Source organism: Homo sapiens, chromosome 8, assembly GCF_000001405.40.
Source record: "Homo sapiens chromosome 8, GRCh38.p14 Primary Assembly".
NCBI classification, from domain to species: domain Eukaryota; kingdom Metazoa; phylum Chordata; class Mammalia; order Primates; family Hominidae; genus Homo; species Homo sapiens.
In genome coordinates this window covers 104,132,458-104,155,799 of record NC_000008.11, presented here as the reverse complement: position 1 = coordinate 104,155,799, position 23,342 = coordinate 104,132,458, and the positions used below count along the sequence as shown (strand labels likewise).

At 35.5% G+C, this 23,342-nt stretch overlaps 1 protein-coding gene across 65 annotated transcripts in view; it reads right to left on the bottom strand.

The window, feature by feature from the left end:
• The window catches only part of RIMS2 (regulating synaptic membrane exocytosis 2), a 755,485-nt gene that overhangs the window by 100,295 nt on the left and 631,848 nt on the right, over positions 1-23,342 (bottom strand). For 40 of the 65 annotated variants that reach the window (XM_017014015.3, XM_017014010.3, XM_017014016.3 and 37 more), the window contains one exon: positions 6,952-7,193. The exons of the other annotated variants lie outside the window; for them this stretch is intronic. In XM_017014015.3, coding sequence (XP_016869504.1) covers positions 6,952-7,193 — 242 coding nt within the window. The remainder of the gene's footprint in view (positions 1-6,951; positions 7,194-23,342) is intronic. 65 annotated transcript variants of the gene reach the window in all.

Here is a 23,342-nt window from a genome sequence, read left to right as displayed (position 1 = left end):
TCTTCAAACCACAGTTTCATCGCAAGAATCTTTTTAAGCCACTTTCCTATTTTCTCATTGTTAGTGTAGTTGAAACTAACACCCCCAAGGCCGGCGCAGTGGCTCATGCCTGTAATCCCAGCACTTTGGGAGGCCGAGGCGGGTGGATCACCAGGTCAAGAGATCAAGACCACCCTGGCTAACACGGTGAAACCCCATCTCCACTAAAAATACAAAAAATTAGCCGGGCATGGTGGTGGGCGCCTGTAATCCCAGCTACTCGGGAGGCTGAGGCAGGAGAATGGCATGAACCTGGGAGATGGAGCTTGCAGTGAGCCGAGATCGCGCCACTGTACTCCAGCCTGGGCGACAGAGCAAGACTCTGTCTCAGAAAAAAAAAAAAAAAAAAAAGCAAGGCCGGGCGCGGTGGCTCATGCCTGTTATCCCAGCACTTTGGGAGGCCGAGGCGGGCAGATCACGAGGTCAGGAGATCGAGACCATCCTGGGTAACACGGTGAAACCCTGTCTCTACTAAAAATACAAAAAATTAGCCAGGCGTGGTGGCGGGCGCCTGTAGTCCCAGCTACTTGGGAGGCTGAGGCAGGAGAATGGCGTGAACCCGGGAGGAGGAGCTTGCAGTGAGGTGAGATCGCACTACTGCACCCCAGCCTGGGAGACAGAGCGAGACTCCATCTCAAAAAACAAAACAAAACAAAAACAACAAAAAACAAAAAAAACTAACACCCCCAGAAAGGCATGAGACCTTCTGGCATTTAGACTGAGAATACTAGGTGAAGCCATATATTAAATATTTGTAAAGTTTAATTTCTTTTTTGTTTTTTAGATTAAAAAAAAAAGTAAACTCTACTATTTCTTTCCATTCCCCAGGGAAGTGTATCATGTAGCCTCATGGAATTCATGGCCCTTTCATTGAGGATCACCATATGTGATACAATACTAGAAACTGAGAAGGATAAACTAAACAAGAAAAACAGTTTAGGCAAGAGATAGATGAGTAAATGATTACAGTTGCTAAATGTTATAACAACAGTTACTTTAAAGTACTGTGTGAGCTTATAAATTATTACAAGATGAAAAGAGCGCAGATGCCTGAGTGACCACAGGTTACAACCAATGATCTCCACTTAAGTTCTGGATCTCACCTACCCAATTGTTCCCACAAGTAAGTCCCTGTTTTTAAAAAACAAAGCTCTTCTTTGATTCTCTCTCCCTCAAGTTATAGTCCTATTTTAAAATTTCTATTTCTTATTTGTTTTAAAAAATCCCAGAAAGAATTGTTTTTAACTGTGCTATCCAGTAATCACTAGTCGCATGTGCCTATTTGAATTTAAAATAATTTAATTAAAAATGTAAAGGAATTAAAAATCCAGTTAACTTAGTTACCCTAGCCACATTTCAAGTGTTCAATGGCCACATGTGACTAGCGCTACCATATTGTACAGGACAGGGCAGATGTAGGAGATTGCCATCACTGCCAAAAGTTCTATTTAACAGTGCTATTCTAGACTGTAACAGAAAAATTAAAAGTGAAGTATCCAGATCCAGATTGTCTGGATTCAAATTCCAACTTCCACCCATGACATTAGCTGGGTAAATTTGGGGAATTTATTTCCTGTCTCCCTACTTTTTCCCCCCATCTATCGAATGGAGATAATAACTCATTCCTCCTTCATAACTTTGTTGTGAGGTTTAAATGATTTACATGTAAATGCTTTGAACTGTGACTAGCACATAATAAGTGCTTAAAAAGTGTTAGGTGTTCATATTTTTATTCTCACTGACTCTAACTCACCTCTTCGTTTTCTTTACATGCTCCCATCAGGCTTTGTCCACCACTGCAAGGTTTGTCAAGGTATACCAAATTTCTCCATCTTGCCAAATTCAATGGTAAATTATCAGTCTTCATCTTACTTGACCTGTCAGAGTCCCTGACACAGTTGATCATGTCCTGCTTCTTAAAATATTTTCTTCATTTGGTTTCTAAGATATCCTTTTTTTGTTTTTCCTTTAATGGTTGCCTTCTCTTAAGCCTCTGATGAATTTTCTTCTTCTTCCTGACCTCTAAATGGTAGAATGTCTTAGGGCTCAGTCTTTAGTTTTCTTCTTGATTCAAGTTACCATATATAATCTTATCCAGTTCTATGGCTTCAAATGCTACCCGCGGATTACTCCTAAATTACATCCTTAGCTTTGATCTACTGGGCTCTGAATTCATCTATGCACTTAATCATGTAATAACTGTACTTAGATGTCTAATGGACATCTCAAAATCAAAATCATGTCTAAAACAGAACTCTTGATTCCCCTATGAGGCTGAATTGGCTACTGATGTCTTATATCTACCATGTGATTTTAATGTACTTTTCTTACATTTAAAAATATTATCTTTATAGAAATGCTGTTAGGATAGCACGTGTCAATTCCATCAGTCAGATAGACATACTATGACTCAGATCTGCTGGATAAGTTTTTAAAGAGTCCATATTTAATATATAACCCAGAGTAAGCAATAGAATTCAAGTCTCCTTATTCCCTCTATATGCTCTCTACTAGGTTATGATGCCTATCAAGTCATACTCAATTCTTTAGAAACAGTGATTTAAAAGATGAGTTTCCAATTAACAGGCAATGGAACATACAAATAGTGTGACAGAAGAGAGTTATAACTTAGCCTCTATGTGTGTTGGTCAACATACCTTTATAAAAGGTTTCTCCTTTGCCAATTATTATTTACATATAATTACTGTGATATCATCCAGAATCATTTCACTATTCTTTAGGAAGACCCCGTTTTGCTGAGTTTCTACTCTTCAGAAGGGAGGTAAGTTGTCTTGTCTGATCTTGAAATCCATGGTGGTACAATAACATTTATTTTTACAATAGTAAATACCATCTCAAAATATTGAAATCATTATGATACATCATTCATCACATGATGACTCTTTAACTTAATTACATATAGATCTTCACATAGAGACCAGGAAAATAAAGAGAATACTAAACAAGTCTTTGAAAATACAAACATATAGCTGAAAACACACAAAGAATTTCTTTGTTTCAGGCAAGTTACTCAATACATCTTATATATTTATGTCTGAAGAAAGAAGCTATTATAAGATCCAGCATTATAAAACTAGTTCATTATTGTAGATAATGACTTTTGATAATTTAATATCTAAGCTACTAGATCATATGCTCAAATACTGAAATTTGAAGATTTGTTTCAAATACTTTTGGAGCTTATGATTCCATTTTTTTCTTAAGAAAATAAAGCATAATTAAAACCTTATTTTGAACACATATACATATGCACACAAATACAGAACTGAGAAACCCATTGGAAGTTTGAAATCCAGTAATTGTAAAACAATCTCTGTTGGCTATGCTACAGTTAAACTTGGGCTTTAAAATGAGAGATAATCTGAATTCTATTGTCAGCAGGTCAAATCTATTAAGGGGAGTAGGTATGAATAACTGCAAATTTTAAGAACAATTAAAAATGTACCCATTATAATGTCACTGAATAGTAATGAAGACAGTGACAAAGAGATTTTATCATTTGCTATGTAATATATAGGAAGGAACTTTATGATATAACAAGAAACAAGACTACATTTCTTAAATCTGCCAACATCACAATGTTTTTGAGACAAAAACCTATAACTACTCATACATGAAAATCAGTGTTGTTACAGAATCTCAATGTATGGTCAATAGAGCTATAATTTTGTAATACAAATACAATCAAAGAAAGATATATGGGACAGTTGTGCCAAACATGTAAAGACATGAAATTGATTATTGAGAAATACTGACCCTTCTGTTTTTGAATATTCTACCCTCTTAATTTCTGTGATACTATCCTCTCATAATTTTGGTCTTTTCTTTGTGATTGTTCCTTCTTCTTCTTCTTGGGCTCTTCCTCCGCGCAATTCTAAAATGTTAATCTTCCACAGGGCATTGTCTTGGCCTACTGCTGTTTTATCTGTATAATTCTTCTTGGGCAATTTCAGCCACGTTCATGAGTTTAAGTATTACCTAAACTTTGTAACTCTCAGATTTATGTCCCTGCTTCTGACACAAGCTTCAAAAGTGTTTATTTAAATGTTCTAGACATTTCCACTTGGAAATTTTCACATATATCACAAATTCAAAATTTCATAAATCAAAGACTCATCCCTCTTCCTCTTTCCCCAACATCTCTTTTTTTTTTTCTGGAGTTGGGGGAGTGCAGGACAGAGTCTCGCTCCGTCACCCAGGCTGGAGGGCAGCAGCCAATCTCGGCTCACTGTAACCTCTGTCTCCTGGGTTGAAGCAATTCTCATGCCTCAGCCTCCAGTGTAGCTGGGACTACAGGCATAAGTCATCATGAGGGGCTAACTTTTGTATTTTTTGTAGAGATAGGGTTTTGCCATGTTGCCCAGGCTGGTCTCAAACTCCTGACCTCAAGTGATCTGCCTGCCTTGGCCTCCCAAAGTGCTGGGATTACAGGCATCAGTCACCATGCCGCAACCACTCCTCTTATACTTCCAATATCCATTAATGGCACTACCATCCACTCAGTGATGCAAGTCAGAAATATGGGAGTCATCTTAGAATTTTCTCTCCTTCACCTCCTCATATCCAATCAGTCACTTAATCAGGTAAATGACTACTAATTTTGCTCTTTAAAAATTCCCTGAATCTATCATTCCCTCTCTATCTTTATTACGGCTGGCTTAGCTCAGGATCTTATCTTTTGTCTGAATTATCATACTTCTCTGTTAATTCATCCTTAAATGCTCTTTTCCAGGTATGGACTTAAGTTTACCTCTTTATTGTAGCCCCACTAGAATATAAGCTCCAAGAGAAGAAGGATTTCTGTCTTCTGTTTTCTTTAGGATAGTCCCTGGCAAATGATAGGTACTCAAAAATTATTTGTTACATAAACAAATGGCAGCCTGAATGGCCTAAAAACTATACATAAAGTACATACAAATATGACCATATCAATCCTCTACTGAGAACCTTTTAAAACTTCCTATCATCTATAATTATGATCTGAGATGCTCTATGACCTGGTCTCTATTTATCTACTAGCCTCATCTCTAGCTATTTAGTCCAATATTTTATGTTAAAATTATGTAACTGTTTATCATTCCTGCACATATCATGGATCTATGCCTTGTTTCTTACGGTTTCTATCTAGAACACCTTTCTAATCGTCTTTTACCTAGTTAGCAGCCACTTGAGTCACTGAGATGACACCTCTGATGAGGCATCATCTCCAGGAATTCATTCCTGGAGTTCCAGGTTGAGTCAAGTGGCCTTCCTCTGAGCATCCAGTGTACCATCTGTGTAACTCTAGATTCACCACTGGCGTATGACCTTGAAGCAATCTGTTTAAGTATCTGTCCTCTATTAGACTGTAAGCAACTTGGGTTATAAATGATTTCCTATTCATCTTTTTTCTTCATGTGTCTGGCACACGGTAAGCGTTCAATACTTATAAATAAGAACCCTGAGTGAATGGAATTAATTATTTAGTTTCATATATTTTCTAACTTGTAGTCTTACTAACGTCCATTTTAGGTTCCTAATTTAAAAAAAATTAGTAGACTTTATTTTTTAGAGAAGTTTTAGATTGACAGATGTTTGTAAGTTTTAAAGAAAAACATGCAATGAAGTTCTATTAGAGAAGTATAAAAAAACCTCAATTTCAAAAGGCCAACATGTATCATATTAGCACAACATAGTTAATTAGGTATAAATACTAACAATTTTAAAAATCATTAAAATATGATCTGTATGTCCACTGTCCATAAATTAAACTTCTATTTATATATTAAAATGCAAAATAGTATTTTACAACACCAAATTAAAAATCCTATGACAAAAATCACTTTAAATATCTTTAGTTACAACCAGAATATAAAAAATACCACCAAATAATTATTTCAATATAATATTGTTAAATAAGACTAAATTCCCAGAATCACAAGTACGGTTTGCAAAAATCAAGATTAGCCGGGTCCAGGAATTAATGTAACCTTAAATTCTTTTGTGCTGTAGATTTATATCTGACTTCTATGTACAAGAGTCCTAGTAGTCAAACACAAATTAGATTTAATCCAGCTGCCTATAATTTATTTTGCTATAAAAGAAACACCATATTACATGCATTTGTTTGTCAAGTAGAAGATATGCTATTATTTCCAAGATACCAAGGATTTAATGTTTAATTATCTACACCCATTTGAAAAAAGACATTGCTTTGATTCACAAATTTCTTAATTGCTAACAGTGGCTTTTCTGAGTAGGAGTGTTGTATATAATTTATTTTTGCAGATGTGATTTAGCAACTGAATTTTAAAGTAGCAAAGCTTTGAATATCTTCACTGTCAGCAGAAAATTCCTCCATCCCTGCTGCTGGAGAATATTGCTGTTTGAAGTTTTAACAGGGAAATAAAAATTGCAGTGAGAAAATTGATAACTACTGGTAAATGTTGCTTACAAACTGAAAAGGAAGTTGGGTTGTCAGCAAAACAAGAACTGTATTATTCACACAAAATATGAGAAGTCATCTTCACAGCATCTTGCTGGGAATGGAAATTAATTTAGCTGGTTCCAACTTGAGGAACCTAAAGAAAAGCAAATATCCCCCATTTCAGATTATCTTTACAAAGGATCAGCAGCTGGCAATTGGGTGTCACAGCGTAACTCCTCCCTGAGGAGGAAAGACATTATCTACATTTTAAGAACACTGGCCAAGGTTCACTTGGAAGCAGGCTCATTGATCACTGGAAAAAACATCATTGTTGATTTCAGAAAGGTTAACTAGTTTAAAATGCCCTTTCCCTCTGGAACATGTCATCATCCACACATTACTGCAATAAAATGAGTAAGAGAAAAGAAATATATCTTGTAATGACAACTCAAATATCAAGTTAAAAGTAACATTGAAATTCCTACCCGTTTGGCTGAGCTGAGAAGCACTGCGACTTTTCCGTGACAGACCAACGATAGCTACCATTTTGGCACCAAGGCTAGAGCGCCGCTTTTTGCCACTGGTGCCCAAGGTGCCCACTGCAGTGTCAGACTGGCTGCCATCATTCTTCTCCAGTGAGCACATGTCTCCACTGATGCTGGTGCTTTTTGTCATGTTCTTCCCTGATATGCCCATTTGTCTGCTTTGCATTTTGGATGTAAAGACACTGTCAGCCGATGGATCATTAAAAGTGAGGACAAGAGTAAAAAGGAAAAGACAGAAAATGCATTTTAGATAAAACATTTGGAGTATAATTAAATTATATCATCTATGGAATATATTTTTAGGAGTTAAAAAATTTCAAATACCATGGTCTTGATTGTGCTTTGTTACTCTGGGCCAACCTTAGAGCAAATATGCAAAATCAGATTTATGATTTTATTTCTGCTGTCAAAGACAAGGTGCAAATTTGCATGATCACAGGAAAAAAATTCATGAAAAATCAGTGGGTTCATTTAAGACACTATGCTGTCCTGCAGCACCTAAAGGTAGCCATACGACATAAGGGAGAAGCTTACAAAAACATTCTTCTCTATTTTACTGTTGCCTTCAAAAGGTAATTAGACAAGTGGGAAAATTTTACCAAAAAAAAAAAAAAAAAAAGGCTGATAATATAATATCCATTTCAAGAGTGGCCCTGTAAGTTTTCTTATAATAAGGTTTATCTAATAATGGTTAAATTTTCTAAAAAGGCTTGCTATTTTCATTAGCTTTGAATTAAAAAATAACTTTATTTCACTTTACTTAATCATTACTGATATAAATCTATATTACAAAAATAAAGAAAAGAAAGATTTTCTTCTTGCACTCTTTTGAAAGAAAGAAAAATCATTATCAGTTTTCCAGACAGTGTGCCAGAAAGCAATCGATGAATCACTGAGGCATGTGAGCTGATTGATAATCTACTGCAAGACTAATACTGCAACTGGGAGTAATTAAAGAAATGACTTTGGATTTTTCCACGATTTCTGGGGTATGGTAGAGGTAGATTAGAAAGCGAAGAATCTGGAAGCAGGCTATCCAGCTAGCCCCCATAAACCTAGGAGGACTATGAGGGAAGCAGTCTGTTTTGCAGGAATGAAAATACTTATTTACACATCAATTTTTGACTCAGTATTAGAAAGTTTTACTTTGGTTCTGATAATGAATGTTTAATACATAAAGTAATAAAAAAGAATAAAAATCAAGAAACAGAAATATCTTTAAACATTATTTAAAGGATGAGAATTAGAAAACTAACTTATTGAGGTGAACTCTTATGTCTAATTCAATATCTTTGTCTTCCAGAAAAAAAAAAGTGTTTTCTATCCTAGAGTAAAATCTGGTTAAAGGCTAGAACCACATATTACTTTTATTAACCTATGTAATATCTTCTCCAAGTATTTAGGCGGTAAAAGACCCAGTGTGAAATTTAAAAAATATATAGTGAAGTATACTATTATATCCCTCACATTTGTTTTAAGAAAAAAATGTGGCATACATAGTCAGAAACAGGACAAAGAGAGTTAGTGTGTGTGTGTGCGAGGGAGAGAGAGAGAAGGCGCAGGTGGGTGGGGAGAGAAGAGAAAAGAAGAGAAGAGAAGAGAAAAGAGATGAGAATATGTTTCTGCAATATCCTGAAATGATAATTTTCAAGTTTGTTTTATTTTGATAGAAAGTAAAAAGAAAAGGCTTGTTATCGTTTAAAAGAGCCAAAGTTTAACAGAAACTAAGGCTTTTTATATAACCTATGTTCCATACTCAGAATAACCTAGTGTTTCTGTTATATAGCAATTTTTGGGTGTGCACAGTGGCTCACGTCTGTAATACTAGCACTTAGGGAGGCTGAGGCATGACGACTGCTTAAGCCCAGGAGTTTGATACCAGCCTGGCAACATGTGAGACCCCATCTTTACAAAAAAGTAAAAAATTAGCCAGGCATGGTGGCACATGCCTGTAGTCCCAGCTACTTCGGAGGCACAGGAGGATCACCTGAGCCCGAGATGTTGAGATTGCAGTGAGCCGAGATGGTGCCACTGCACTCCAGCTTTGATGACAGAGTTAGATCCCGTCTCAGAAAAAAGAAAAAGAAATTTTTATTCAAAACATATACTCTTCTAAAGAACCACCTAATCTACTAATTACCAAGGATGTCAAAGATACACTCACAAAATTGTATCTTGTGATTTTTGCATTTGAATTTTTATGTTTGAATATCAAGGCCATAAAGAACTTGACCAAAATCAAATAAGACACTACAATAAAATACTAACTGGAACTGATACATCATTTTGCAGATAAACAATATTTTAATGAGAACTTTGTTTGAAACAAGTGCACTTCTCTTCAACCTAACAACTTTAATAAAGCATTATTTACAAAAGGAGTTATTTCTTTTTATTCATTTGTTTTTTAGAGATGGTGTTTTGCTCTGTCACCCAGGCTAGGGTGCAGTGGTGCAATCATAGCTCATCGTAACCTCGAACCCCTGGGCTCAAGTGATTTTGATTTTCCTGCTTTAGCTTCCTAAGTGCTAGGACTACAGTGCATGCCAGCACACCTGGCTTTTTTTTTTTTTTTTTTTTTTTTGGGAGAGGAGACAGGTTCTCACTGTGTTGCCCGGGCTGGTCTCAACTCCTGGACGCAAGTGATCCTCTCTCCTGATCCTCTCAAAGTCCTGGGATTACAGGCTTGAGCCACCGAGCCTGGCCCAAAAGGGGTTATTAAAAGTTTTATAAGATGGATGCTCTTTTTATTTCCTTGAAACTTAGAGATCACCAGGGATGAGTTTATGAATAGTAGCACTAGAGTGGTGTGTTTTGATGAGAGAAAGATTGCAGCGAGGGTTCCTTTTCTTTCTTCACTGGATATCATCTAAAACGATAAGCAAAAAATGTTGTAAGCAAATAAGCTACCATTTTTCTTTTTTTTTGAGATGGAGTTTCGCTCTTGTTGCCCAGGCTGGAGTGCAATGGCGCGATCTAGCTCACCGCAATCTCTCCTCCCGGGTTCAAGTGATTCTCCTGTCGCAGCCTCACAAGTAGCTGGGATTGCAGGCATGCACCACCATGTCCGGCGAATTTATTTATTTATTTATTTATTTATTTATTTATTTATTTATTGTATTTTTAGTAGAGACGGGGTTTCTCCATGTTGGTCAGGCTGGTCTTGAACTCCTGACCTCAGGTGATGCTCCCGCCTTGGTCTCCCAAAGAGCTGGGATTACAGGTGTGAGCCACCACGCTCAGCCACAAGCTACCAAAATTTTTAAAGTTTTGGGACTCTTGATTTTTGAAAAAGTGTTTAAAGTTTTGGGAGTCTTGATTTATGAAATACTTTGGAGTAAAGAATTTGTAATTATGGGCAATATTTTAAAATGCTCAATGTGGCTAGGAAAAGACGTATTACATTAGTAATTTTTTTAAAAGAGAAATTTTATAAGGGTTTGGAAATACAGTATATTTCAACACTTCTAGTGGGATCTCAGTGATAGATTTCTAAAGAGCAACTTGGCAATATATGTCAAAAGCTTTAAAAAAAAACAAGCCTACCCTTTAACCTAGCATTTCAACTTTACAATTTATCATAAAGGAAAACTTAGCAATGTGTACAGATTTAGCTATAATGATATTTATTGCACAATTGATTATAATAGCAAAAACAAAACAAAATAAGACAAGGGGAAAAACCCACAAATGTCCAACAACAGTGGATGTTTAAATAAATTATGTTCATCAATAAAAGACAATGTACTGTTGAAAATGCTGTTATACATAAATGTTTATGGACATAAAAAGATATTCTTGATGGTGGGGGATGGGGAGGGAGAAGCAGATATCTGTAACTTAGCTTTGGACGACATATGTATCAAATATGGAATTACCCTACTACTAGGGGACACAGGTAAATTCAAATCCCAGAGTTTTTCCAGTCACAGAAATCCAAAAATAGTTTTATAAAAAAAAGAAGCAATATTTTGTGCTAAACTAAGTAATTTGAGAAGCCTAGATTCATGAGATGATGCGCCAGTCATCTGCACAAAAGAAGAATGAAGAGATATGAAGAAAAATAAAATTATGTGTTCAGAAAAATTTTATTTTTAGGGGAAAAATATAAATGTATGTAGCCAAAAATATGAAAGGATATACTGTGACCAGTCTGCTAAAAGTCATTTTAATTTTTTCTGGTTGATAGCTATGTTTTAAAAAAAGTTTATCTTTTTCTATTTTGTTTTTTCCAGAATAAACATAAAAAGTGTCGGTAACTAAAAAAAATTAAAACAGACAAACGAAAAGAGCAATCAAGGTCCAACATCGCTTCTTCTTTTATGTAAATCAAATTACTCAACCCACATTAGTTCTTGTCATGGGTTAAAGGTACAGTATGGATTTCTAGCTAATCCTAACAGATTACTACACAATAGATTGAGTGTTGATATAGGGTGTTCGGTTCTAGAAAAGGACACTGTTTTTACATTTCTAAATATTGTTTTGTGCATATTTCTAATTTTTGGCTTTAGAAAAACAATAAAAACTGTATATATTTAGTATTATCGAAGTTAAATATATAAAACTGCCAATACAGAGATTGATTTATGGCAAAATTATAGTTGTTGAAAAGTTGTATCCTGAATGGTTAAAGAAAAAGGCAAATCTAGTATTGTCAATCATTAGGAGAAAAACAAGTAACTACAAAGCAAGTGAAACACAAGTATTCCCCAAATACATAAATAGCATATAGGGATTATTGGAAGATGTGATTAAATCAAATGAAGTTTATATGCTATAGGGCCAAAGTTTTCATTTATAGGTTTGAATGAATAGAGGTAAGTGGTTTGGCTTAAAGATAATAAATAGCAAAGATGAGACAAAGACAAATTCTGAGTCTTAAGAATGTAAAGTCATGCCAAAACAAATATTTCATCACATTAGAGCTGAGAAGGTAGTCTGGAAATAATTTACCAAGGAATGAAAGACTGGGGTGATTCTGTGGAGGCCTAACAGCTAATACAATGGAGAATTAGGACTGTGGCACAGGGACAGAAAATACATTGAAGGATAGAAAGTAGACAGGGATAGTTCCAGGAGTGAAACTATTCATAACATCTTTGGCAAGAAAGTGGTGATAAGGCTTGTACTGTTCAAGAGTTTGAAGACAATAGCATTCCTGGTAGATTAGAAACAAACCCAGTAGGACTGGTCAAGCTCCTAAACATGGTATCTTGAAAGGCTTACTTCCTTTTTCTTCCTACTGTTGTGCTTCCTGAGCCAGGTGCCACAAATTAACTGAATACCTGTTACTACTATAACTCATACTTCATCACACCAGTTGGCAGTAATTGGATAAATGTCTGGGTTTTAAAGTGCCGTTTCTTGCATGTTCTTTGCAGGAAAAAAAACAGCAACAAAAAAATCTGGCTTCTGTCTAAAGTTCTCCTTTTATGTAAAAACTTCTCTACATTAAATACCATTCCTTTCCTAAAATGTGGTAGCTGAAATTACTATTATCCTAATTTACTACAAATAAACTTTATTTCACTTAAACTCAGATTACCATCTATGATTTTAGGCTAGTAAAGTAGTAATCATTTATTCAACAAAGATTTACTGAACACCTATTATGACAAATATGCGGATACAAAAATGATATGACATAGTCTCTGATTAATTTGCTGGCAAATATCAGCATATAAAACGCAAATAAGGCTGCATAAGAACTTGGTTTTGGTTTACAACTGAAATTCCAATGGTCAACTCTAATGTCAAGAAACCCTAATTAAGTTAAATGAAAACCTCTCTTTGAAGAGTATGTAAAAACTGAGTTTTTCATACTAATTCTTTGACTTCTGGAGATGACAGAAATTTAAAGTTTAGTATTTTTAACATTATTGCAAGTACTGTATATAAACACATTATGTTAATACGCTTGAATGTATCAGTATAGTATCTAAATGTATTAGAGGGTGCACGCGTGTGTCTGTGTGTGTGTCTATGCCACAAAATGTCCAGAGTTAGGGAGAAACATTTGGCTAATTAACAAAGTATATTTAGTCAAAAACATCTGCCTTGATTATAGCCATTAGTAATTAATCTATGTTTAAGGTTCTTAAGTCTTAGGTCTCATGGCAGGAAGCAGTATTTCAGTGGTCACAAGGTAGGTCACTGCTTACTTGGGATAACTTAAGGAGCATCCAGGAGGCCTGTAATTTCCAAAATTCCTTTCCCAAGAGCTTGTTAATGCCAAAAATTCCAATATATTAAAGATTTCTTTTTTTAAAAACATGATTTGTTTCTTAAAGTTTGCTCCCTTTTAACATGTCACATTCCCGGGATTTGGACATTCTTATTTAAAAGATATTTACTTTGGGCCAGGTGCAGTGGCTCACGTCTGTAATCCCAGCACTTTGGGAGGCCGAGGCGGGTGGACCACCTGGGGTGAGAAGTTTGAAACCAGCCTGGCCAACATGGCAAAACCCCATCTCTACTAAAACTAACAAAAATTAGCTGGGTGTGGTGGCGGGCACCTGTAATCCCAGCTATTCAGGAGGTTGAGGCAGGAGAATCGCTTGAACCCGGGAGGCGGAGGTTGTGGTTGAGCCGAGATCACGCCATTGTACTCCAGCCTGGGCAACAAGAGCGAAACTCTGTCGCAAAAAGAAAAAAAAAAAAAAAAAGGAAGATATTTACTTTGAAATAAACAAAAATAAATTAAATTAAAAGTAGTAGGCTATGTAGCAGGCATTATTCTCAAAATTAAGAGGTATAGCACAGACAAGTATAGAATGCTCCTGTTTCATGGAGCTTTCATTCATACTGTCATAGTGAAAGACAGTAAACATATAAATAATTGATAATTTTAGATAGTGATATGTGATCTGAAGAAAATAAGATGGAATAAAATAACAAGGGACTGAAAAGTTTGGCAACAACATTAAATAAGGTTGTCAAGGAAGGCCTCTCTGAAGAGGAGACAATTTAGCTGAGCCCTGAATGATGAACCCAGTCAGATGAAAGAAGCATGTTCTAAGCTTAGAGAGGAGCAAGTGCAAATATCCTGAGGCAGGAATGAGAATGCTTGTTAGAGGAAATTTACAAAACTAAATATAAATGGAATGAAGTGAAGGTGAGCATTGTAGACAGGATAAGGCCTACATGTGTGGGGACAAATGCATGGCCTGCACGACTTACTCGTATTTAACTGCCTATTCAGATATTACATCAGAGCTGTCCTAAGACTGTGAGAACATAGATTGCACAGGTTCTTGTATCAGGAGACTTGGGATTCAGCTCAGTATTATGTCTCCAAATACAACATCAAAGGGCATTTTGGAGAGATCATGGCTATCTTCCTTAAAAGTGATAAATTTATGAAGGCTAAATCTTTAAGGAAACTAGGAATATTCCTTTATTAACTGAACACAAAAAGTTTATTTAAACTCTTTAGTCTGTCTATATATTGAACCTTTACTATCTCTTGAATTTATAAATTCTCTACCAAATTATTGAATAATAGACCTCTCCCTCCACCATGAGTTTGAAGGAAGTTACTTTAAAGAAAAATTTTAAACGTATTACTTTATAGATCATATGTTTCTCTGTTTATCACACCATGCTCATGGTACCTAATCATTTGTCTATCATCAAATGATAATTTTTCAGTATCTTTTTTTTATGCTAGTTATATGTCCCTGCACTCTCTCTAGCTATGTTTTGTCTTCTTTAAAAACAATTAAGCACAAAAACTACATTTAAAATGTTCATGTTTCAAAAATAGGTGTCACTTGCTTCCTCTGTCAAGATAAAAATGTACCCAAAAATTATGATTTTTAAAATGTCTTCATTATAACATGTATCTTACAAAAACTGTATCTCTTCTCTGATGATTTCAGCTACTTTATTTTTAATCATCCTCAGAGAGATGACCTGGTTTCCATTTTGTTTCTTTTTCCCCTTGAATTTTTAGTTCAAACATTTCTGTACTCAGCTAATTTAAACCATAGTAAACATCTTGCCACAAATTGATTGATTCCTTTAGCAAACATCTACCTTGCATCTACTTGGTGTTAGGTCCCAAGGCAGCAAGTGGGGGCTGAAATGGTACCTGCCCTCCATGCTCTGGCATACGGGGACTGAAATTGACAAAAAGGAAGAATACATTTTTTTCTTCACATAAAGAAGGAATTTTCTCTAATTGTTCTGTTCAAAGCAAGTATCCATTTCTAATTATCTACCTAGAGGTACCACTTTTTCTAATTTGTGCAAAGCCTCCATTTAGGCAAATGGTAGCTTTGGCCCTGTGGTCAATAAGAACAATAAATAAGACATGAGACATAGTTATTATCTAAGGGACACGTGCTTTAGGGGTACAAATATGAGTGAAAATGCTTATACAAATTAGCAAAAGTTATAAGTACAGAGAAAAGGGAATAAACCCAGTGTTATGAAATTTCACTGGAGGGAAGGATAATATTGAGAATCAGAGATGAGAAAAGCTTTATAAACTTGGGTCTTGAATGGTGGGTAAAAATTATGACATGTAGAGAGAGAAAAATATTCAAGAGAATATTATAAATAATACAGTGGTTAGAATGCACATATCATGGTTTTAAGATGCAAAAATCTTCAAAAATAGCAAACTGAATTCAACAATACATTAAAAAGAACTTTCATCATGACCAAGTGGGATTGATCCTAGCGATGCGAAGATGGTTCAACATATGTAAATCAATCAATGTGATACATTGTATCAACAGAATGAAGGACAAAAACCATATGATAATTTCAACTGATGCTGAAAAAGCATTTGATAAAATTAAATATCCCTTCAGGATGAAAACCTTCAAAAAACTGGGTATAGAAGGAACATACCTAAACTCAGTAAAAGCCATACACAATAGACCCACAGCTAGTATCATACTGAATGGGGAAAAGCTGAAAGCCTTTCCTGCAAGATCTGAAACATGGCAAAGATGGCCATTTTCACCACTATTATTCAACATCATACTGGAAGTCCTAGCTAGATCAATCAGACAAGAGAAATAAACAAAGGGCATCCAAATTGGAAAGAAAGAAGTCAAATTATCTTTGTTTGCAGATGATAGGATTTTATATTTGGAAAAACCTAAAGACTACACCAAAAAAACTATTAGAATTGATAAACAAATTCAGGAAAGTTGCAGGACATAAAATTGACATACAAAAATCAGTAGCATTTCTATATGGCAACAGTAAACAATCTGAAAAAGAAATCAAGAAAGTAATCTCACATATAATAGCTACAAATGACATAAAATGCCTAGGATAAACTTAACCAAAGAAGTGAAATATCTCTATAATAAAACTACAAAACACTGACAGGAGAAATTGAAGAGGACACAAAAAATGGAAAGATATTCCATGTTCATGGACTGGAAGAATCAATATTGTTAAAATGTCCATACTACCCAAAGCAATCTACAGATTCAATGTAATCTGTATCACAATACAAATATTCTTCACAGAAATAGAAACAATAACCCTAAAATTTATATGGAGACACAAAAGACTCAGAATAGCTAAAGCTATCCTAAACAAAAAGAACAAAACTGGAGGAATCACATTATCTGACTTCAAATTATACTACAGAGCTATATTAACCAAAACAGCATGATCCTGGAATAAAAACAGACATATAGACCAATGGAACACAAAAGAGATCCCAGAAACAAATTCAGACACCTCCACTGAAGTCATTTTTGACAAAGGTGTTAAGAACATACATTGAGGTTAGAACAGTCTCTTCAATAAATGGTGCTGGAAAACAAGACATCCATATGCAGAAAAATAAAACTAGATCCCTATCTCTTGCCATATACAAAAATCAAATCAAAATTGATTAAATATTTAAATTTAAGACCTCAAATTATGAAACTACTAAAAGAAAACATTGGGGAAACTCTCCAGGACACTGGTCTGGGCAAAGATTTCTCGAGTAATACCTCACAAGCTCAGGCAACCAAAGCAAAAATGGACAAATGGGATCACATCAGGTTAAAAGGCTTCCGCCACAGCAAAGGAAACAACAAAGTGAAGAGACAATCCACAGAATAGGAGAAAATATTTGCAAACTACCCGTCTGACAAGGGATTAATAACCAGAATATACAAGGAGTTCAGTCAACAGGAAAAAATGTAATAATCCAATTTTTAAATGGGCGAAAGATCTAAATAGAAATTTATCAAAAGAAGACATACAAATGGCAAACAGGTACATGAGAAGGCATTCAACATCACTAATCATTAGAGAAATGCAAATCAAAACTACAATGAAATATCATTTCACCCTGGTTAAAATGGATTTTATCGAAAAAAGAGGTGATGAATGCTGGCGAGAATGTGCAAAAAAGGGAACCCTCTTACACCGTTGGTGGGAATGTAAATTAGTACAACTACTATGAAGACAAGTTTGGAGGTTCCTCAAGAAACTAAAAACAGAACTACCATATTATCCAGAAATCCCACTGTGAGATATACACCCAAATTGAAGAGATATCTGCATTCTCATGGTTATTGCAGCACTATTCATGACAGCCAAGATTTGGAAGCAACCTAAGTATTCATCAACAGATGAATGGATAAAGAAAATGTGGTACATACATACAATGGAGTACTATTCAGCCATATAAAAGAATGAAATCCTATCATTTACAACAACATGGATGGAACTGGAGGACGTTATGTTAAGTGAAATAGGCCAGCCACAGAAAGACAAACTTTGCATGTTTTCACTTATTTGCAGGAGCTAAAAATTAAAACAACTACACGCATGGACCTAGATTACAGAACGATGGTTATCAGAGGCTGAGAAGGGTAGTGGCGGTGGCAGGTGGGGAGAATAGGGATGATTAATGGGCACAAAAATATGATTAGATAGAATGAACAATATCTAGTATTTGAAAGCACAACAGGGTGACTGTAGTTAACAACTTATTATACATTTAAAAATAACTAAAAGAGTATAACTGGATTGTTTGTAAGAAATGGTGAATCATTTTTTTCTAACGTAGAATTTCTAACATATATGTGAAGCAGTTACATCTGTGATCTCATTAAACAAACCTACAAATGAACAAATAAACAAGGCAATCTATTCAGTGAGGATGTCAAGAATAAAGCTATGCTTCTCTTCTAAGTATCTTCTATTGATTATATACCTTTCTGCTATTTATCATATGCCATCTATTTATTATATACATGATTGTAATATATAATGAATGTATAAATGGGACAAAGACTTTTCTTCTTTTGTTCATTGGTAAATTGTAGGTTTTAAAATAATGTTTGCCACATGGTAAGTTTTCAGCAAATATATGTTGAATAAATGAGTTAATCTTTAAAACAAATGTAACTCTCTCAACGTTGTGATGAGGTAATCCTCATGAATTAACGAAGCAACCTCAATGAAGTAACATATATATAGCAATTAGCACAATGTCTAGAATATGGTTAAGATACGTTGACTCTAATTATTATGTATATTTACAATTACATGGAGGCACTAAGGCTTTACTAAAAATATAAACAAACTTATTAGATTTATTTGAAGAAGCAGCTATTTTATATAAACAGAGATGGTCTGTGGCCTTGAAGAAACAGTCCCTCAGATTTCCTACAGCCAAATAATCCCCATACCTTTGGTAATTTCAAATTTGAAAAGTATGTAATTCAATAAAAACCATTCATAAAATAATCCTGGCATGTAGATGACTGATAATAATGCATATACAAGTAAATTTAATTTCATAGACTAATTTGTTAATTTTCAGATTATTTATTGTTAATATATGAGTACAATTGAATTTTTTTTAACTTTTAAATCCGGGGTACAAGTGCAGGTTGTTACATAGGTAAACTTGTGTTACAGGGGTTTGTTGCACAGATTATCTCATTACCCAGGTATTAAGCTTAGTACTCATTAGTTATTTTTCCTGTTTTTCTCCCTCCTCCCACCCTCCACCCTCCAAAAGGCTCCAGTGTGTCTTGTTCCCCTCTCTGTGTCCATGTGTTCTCATCATTTAACTCCCACTTATAAGTGAGAACAGGTGGTATTTAAATTTCTGTTCCTGTGTTAGTTTGCTAAGGATAATGGCCTCCAGCTCTATCCATGTCCCTGCAAAGGACATGATTGAATTCATTTTTATGGCTGCATAGCATTCCATGGTGTATATGTACCACATTTTCTTTATACAGTCTATCACTGATGGGCATTTAGGTTGATTCTATGAAGAGACTGATTTATTATCTACAAAATGTCAAATATTATGGTTGGCACTAAATTGAAAGTTATACACTTTTGGCATAAATGAAATGCTATACACAATCCACGTGAATAAATTTACTCTTCATTTTTGTTGGTAAATAATTCTTAAAATTGGAAATTCCCTTTATTCCTTAGATTATCCCTAGAAAACATTCCAAAACTCCAAAATGTAGACTTTCCCATACACCCCTTTTTGTCTGTTAAGGATGACAATTTAAGTGCTGTATTATTGCTTTTAGCTAAATGTTAATTAAAATTGGATAAAAATGCTCAGTGAGAGTAGAGACATAAGATAGACAATAAATGGGTCATCAAAAAAGTCACCACTGTAACCTGAACACACTTACGGCAAAAGTGTTGAACAAAGTACATGGATGATTTGTATATTGAGTAGACAGAGTAATTCTCTACTGGTAAGCCAACTGAATTTAATTAGAAAACTCACGTTCGAGACATAGCTACACTAATCAAGTTGTAACTGAATAATCAAAGTAGTCTTTGTGCCTCAGTTTCCATATTGTATAAAACGGGGATAACATTATCCAGAAGATTACCCCAACAGTATCCACAAGGCTGCTACAAGGCTTTCTGTCTCCTTTCCTTCCAGCTCAATTAATTAGTTATCTCTATTCTTCAACATTTTGAGAACCTTGAGCCCTCCACTTTTTCTCCAAGTATCAGCCCCTTCCTCTTCATTTATACTTAACCAACTTAGATTCCACAGCCCATCATTTCAAACACTCTTTTGCAAATATCTTAAACTTTTGAGTATCCCTCCTCATAAGACATCCAACTGGCTGAACTCCTTGATAAATCCTACCACATGCTGCTTCTCTGTGTACATCTCAACATTTCAGCATTCTTTTTTTTTTTTTTTTTTTTTTGAGGTTGGGAGACAAGGTCTCACTCTGGCACCCAGGCTGGAGTGCACTGGCGTGATCACAACTCATTGTAACCTTGACCTCTTGGGCTCAAGTGATCCTCCCACCTCAGCCTCCCAGGTAGTTGGGACTACAGACATGCACCACCACACCTGACTAATTTTTTCTATTTCTCCTTTTTGTAGAGATCAAGTCTGGCCAAGTTCCCCAGGCTGGTCTTAACTACTTCTGGGCTTGAGCCATCTGCCTGCCTTGGCCTCCCAAAGTGCTGGGATTACAGGCATGAACCACCATGCCTGGCCCATATCAGCATTCTTGAAAAAAATTCAGTAGAGCACAGTTGCTCCACTATAGTTCACTATCATTGGCCTCAAAATTACAGCATATATGTTCTCCCCACTCATACAATAAGGAGTGCATACCTACCTTCTTCATGCTATTCAAATCTCTCACCTTCTGCTTTCCTCTCTGCAGACTTCTCCTTACATTTCATAGAGAAAATAGATGCTATCAGACGAAATTCCCTTATACCATATACATGAAGTTTTCAAAAATTAATGGAAAATTCATATTATGAAAAAAACTTCATGAATTTCAAATTTTTTTTGCACCAAAAATAAGCTCATACTAACTTGTTGTAACATGTCTGAACAGGATCTATTTTGAGGTACTAAGAAGAATAAGACATCCATTTGAAAAGATCCCCTGTCAGAGCAATATAAATTCTGCTTAAATTGAAGTAAGAACAACACATTTAGGATGAAGTTTGGGTAGAAGAATGGTGAAATCACTAATATTTTATGAAAAGTTTATGGGGACAATGCCCCAAAGAAATCAGCAGTTTACAAATGGATAACTTGTTTTAAGAAGGGACAAAATGATATGTTCAAGATGAAGCCCCCAGTGGTAGACCATCCACATCAATTTGTGAGGAAAAAATTAATCTTATTTGTGCCTAATCAAAGAGGATCAACAATTAATAGCACAAACAATAGCCAACACCATAGACATCTCAATTGGTTCAGCTTACACAATTCTGACTGAATAATTAAAGTTGAGTAAACTTTGCACTCAATGGGTGCCAAACCTGTTGGATTCAGATTACCTGCAGACAAAAGCAGAGCTTTCAATCGATTTTGTTTGTTTGTTTTTGAGATGAAGTCTCGCTCTGTCACCCTGGCTGGAGTGCAGTGGCACGATCTTGGCTCACTGCAAGCTCCGCCTCCCGGGTTCAAGCAATTCTCCTACCTCAGCCTCCAGAGTAGCTGGGATTGTAGGCGCTCAACACCATGCTCGGCTAATTTTTGTATTTTTAGTAGAGATGAGATCTCACCATGCTGGTCAAGCTGGTCTTGAACTCCTGACCTCAAATGATCCACCTGCCTTGGCCTCTCAAAGTGCTGGAATTACAGGCGTGAGCCACTGTGCCTGGCCCCAAAGTATCTTGAATTTGCTGCGGCTTATGTTGAGAAATAACATTTACTTTTTAAAATTTTTATCTTTTAATTCCATTTTTTCACAAACTTTTTGAGGTCTCCTCATATGATACATATGTATCATATATTAAAGATTATTTGTAAATATATATAATCTCCAAATTTAAGTTAGTAGGCTGAGCTTCTTTCTGAACTTCATATCTACCCAGTTGCCTAGTTGTAACAAGCACTCAGATGTTACACAGAATATCACAAATTTGATGTGTTCCAAATTGAATTTAATCTTTTCTCTCAAACATATTCCTTCTTCAGTGTTCCTTATTTCAGTAAAGAGTATAACTATTTACCTAGTTGCTGAAGGTAAAAATCCAGAGGCACCCTTGATTTCTCCCTTTCCTTCATCCCCATACCTAATCTATCACTAAGTCTTACAGATTCTATCTCTAAAATATATTACATATCCTTCCACTTCTCCCCATCCAGATTTTGACCATTCAAATCCATGCCACTCTCTACTGCAACAGCATCCTACATGCTTATGTTTCAACTGCAACTCATTCTCCACATAGAAGCCACTTGATTTTTCTAAAATACAAATCATTTTATGGCAGTCTGCTACTAAAATTCTTCAGTGTCTTCTCATTGTACTTGGGAAAAATCCAAAATCCATAAAATATAAAATATCAGAAGGAATTCCCTTATCTTCCAAATACCAGTCTATAAACCTAATTGTTCTGCACCCTATCCTCTCTTTCTTGTGCCTATAACAAAAAGTGTCCCTTCTCCTTGGAAAAATCAATTCCTCCACAGGACCTCAGGATCCCACTCTCTTCTCTAATAGAGTCCTACAAGATTTTGGAGATCTGGTCTCTGCCTTTCTCTTTCACCTAAATGTCAAGCCATTTGTCTTTGTAAACAACTCTTTAGCCACAGTGGCCTTTTCTAAATTTCTCAAAAATGTCAAGCTCTTCTCCAACTCAGCTTCACATGTTACGTACCCCACTTAAAATGGTACAAATACAGATGTGGAACATGAAGGGCAGAAAGGTTATGAAGTTTGCTGAAGGTTTCATTGCTAGTATTTGAACCCAGCAGTCTGACACTAGAACTTAAGTTTTTAGTTACCAACTTTACCAGTAGTATAAGATGAATACGAATTCCCCTTAGCTTAGAGCAGGGGTTGCCACACTTTAACCTGCATCAGAATTACCTGGAGGGCTTGTTAAAACACAAAGTTTTTGGTTCATTAGGTCTGGGGTGATACCTGAAAACAGCATTTCTAACAAATTCCCAGGTGATGCAGATGGTGCAGATCCAGCAAGCACATTTTGAGAACTGCTGGCAGAGACTTACATAATACAAACTACATGCCACGTGAAAAAATACTAAGTCTTCATTTGATGTTTAGTAAACAACATACAGGTCACTCCTTTTGTTTTGCTCAATTCTTTCAGACCTGTAAAAACTGTCTGCATGTAGCTGTTACTCTGCCTTACCGTACAGGTATGATACGCTGTGGTAATTGTGCTTATCTGTCCTCCTATATCCCTTAGTCAGGAATTTTATAACACCTACCATCAGAGGTTTATTTTATCTCTGTATACCCGGTCAACATTTTTGCTTTCATTCCCTCCTATAATATAGCAGGTCAGAAAAAAGGTTGGAAATTCAAGTATTTGGCCTATTAAAAGGTAGTTCCATGCTTTTAAATATTAGCAAATTT